At 46.1% G+C, this 2,269-nt stretch overlaps 1 annotated feature.

The window, feature by feature from the left end:
* Positions 243-352: a silencer, noted in NCBI's record as "silent region_17264". NCBI's record gives its function as "represses an Ori minimal core promoter by ATAC-STARR-seq in GM12878 lymphoblastoid cells {active_cell/tissue: GM12878}" and the evidence as "EXISTENCE:reporter gene assay evidence [ECO:0000049][PMID:35858748]".

Raw genomic sequence — 2,269 nt, forward strand, 5'->3', positions numbered from 1 at the left:
GCAGTGCAAGACCCTGTCTTAAATAAAATAAAATAAAATAAATAAAATAAAATAAAATAAAATAAAATAAAATAAAATAAAATAAAATAAAATAAAATAAAATAAAATAAAATAAAAGTGACATGCCTGTATGGTTGGTTAAGGAAGTGGTGGGACATCTCTTCCAAATTCCACCCATCTCCTCTCTGTCCAGGCCCTCTTGGGGTGTGGTCCTAAACTCTGGAGCCAGCTGGCCCAGCCCACCGCGGCTCCAGTGCCATCTGGTGGTTAAACAGAGGAATGGCTTTTAACCGAGGGACCAAGAACTGGGTTAAGATTTTTTGACCTTCAAATCCGAGAAGCAGAACATGTTCATTCTCAACTGTCATCACTATTTTTAAGCAAACTTGCTTTTTTAAAAAAAAATTTATTTTGAACTAGATGAATTCCAAAACAATACCGGGTCTTAAAAACCCTAGCAGATTATGAAACAAAAGCAATGCTTTTGCTTGATGACAAAACCATAGCAAATAAGTGCAGGGAAAAACCTAAACTAAACCAATGCTCTTTGAAAAACAGAGGTTCATTCGACCTGGGATTTAAGCCTCCCGAAAACAGACTGAGCGTGTAGGGTGGGGCTCACCGTATTTACTGCTGAAGCCTGAGCGTCCAGCCCTAGTGGGGGCTCCAGGGGTGTGGAGGAGGCAATGAGTCACCGGGACGTGACTTTAAAGTGCCACGTCTTTGGAGCTGATTACTGGGATTGTTTTGAATGCCTCCAGCAGTGCTCGGAAGACTAACCTGTAGGCAGGGCCCGTAATGGGTTTGGAGAAAAGAGAGACGGAGGCAGGAAGACCGTGAGAAGTTATTGCAGGAGTCTGCGAGCAGATGATGAGAGTGGGGTAATGGAGAAGGAAGCGGGGTGTATTCAAGAGCTTTGGGGAGGCAGAGTGGAAGGTGTTGGTGCCTGGATATGTCTCTGATGGACAATGATGATACCTCTGACAGAAGGGCATGAGAAACTGATTTTGGAGAAAAGATGAAAGGTTTGCTATTAGTAGAAATGTCAAGCAGGTGTTGGAAAATATGGATCTGGAGGTTAAGAGGGAGGTTGTTTTTGGAGACTGATCTGTACATAGAACAAACATTGTAGGTATCTCTAATTCTAATGGCTTGTGTTGAGTAATCATCTGACATACTAGGGATGAGGTTAAACCCGCCTGTTCCTTGTCTGATATGATCCTCACAAAACAGAAGTGTCAGTACTCGATTGTCTTCCTCTTATAGATGGAGATCAAGTTTGAAAGGGCAAATTCCACCCATTTCCTTCCTACCAAAGACTAAATTAAGTAAGAGAGAGGAGGAAACAAGAAGAAAGAAACAGATGAAAAATCAACATGGTTACTGATAAAAGCAGATAGGGCTTAGATTCATGCTAGCAGTGGCTTCCTAGAGCGCCCACCACCGTTGGGCCTCAGAGCTGCCCCTTATGGGCCAGGGTGAATTTGCAGAGTGGACTCCTTCACCCAGACTGATGCCTCATTCTGGTCTAGGACGAGAAGAAAAGGAGAAAGAGGCCTGGGACTCTTGGCTTTTGGCTGTCACCCGCCAGTCTGGTTACTCCTACGTCTCTAGGCAGGAGGCCAGGAGAGTTTAGGGAAAACCCCTCTCTTAGAAAGCAGAGGAATGGAGAAGGAGTGTTCCCCATGCCTTCCCAATACAATTCAGTAACTTGCAGAGGGCACACATGATTGCCGACGCTGCATTCAGAAGACAGACAAGATGCGATTCCTGGTTCAGAGGAACTAGGTCTGCTCCGCAGGTGGGGAGGGGAGGTCAGGTGTGGCAACATGGTGACAATATCATGTAGCAGGTTGTAAAACAGAGCTAAGAGTCATGGGCCATGGAACACAGGCGGGAGCTGCAGCCTGGACTGGGCAGGTGGTGCATGTGGGGTTGCGTTTGTTGTTCTAAAGGGCAGATGGGCTTTTACCAGCAGAAGAGGAGAGAAGCTCATTTAGGTTGAGGCATGAGTAAAGGGATGGCGATGTGAACAGCCACTGTGGGTTCCCTAGGGTGGATAGGGCAGGGAGAAGTTCAGGATTTCAGGGCTGGACTTGACGCTCATCATTCGTTTCGGCCTCATAGTATGTACAGTCTCTTGGTACGTTTGTGGAATCCCCTCCTTGCTTCCTACCATAGAAGCTGAAAACTTGCTCTCCTCGTCTTCCTGGCAGTGAAAGCTCCCCAGTCAGGTGCTGCTGGACTTTGGCTCAGGAACCAGGGATGC

The sequence above is a fragment of the Homo sapiens genome, chromosome 6 (assembly GCF_000001405.40).
Source record: "Homo sapiens chromosome 6, GRCh38.p14 Primary Assembly".
Taxonomy (NCBI): domain Eukaryota; kingdom Metazoa; phylum Chordata; class Mammalia; order Primates; family Hominidae; genus Homo; species Homo sapiens.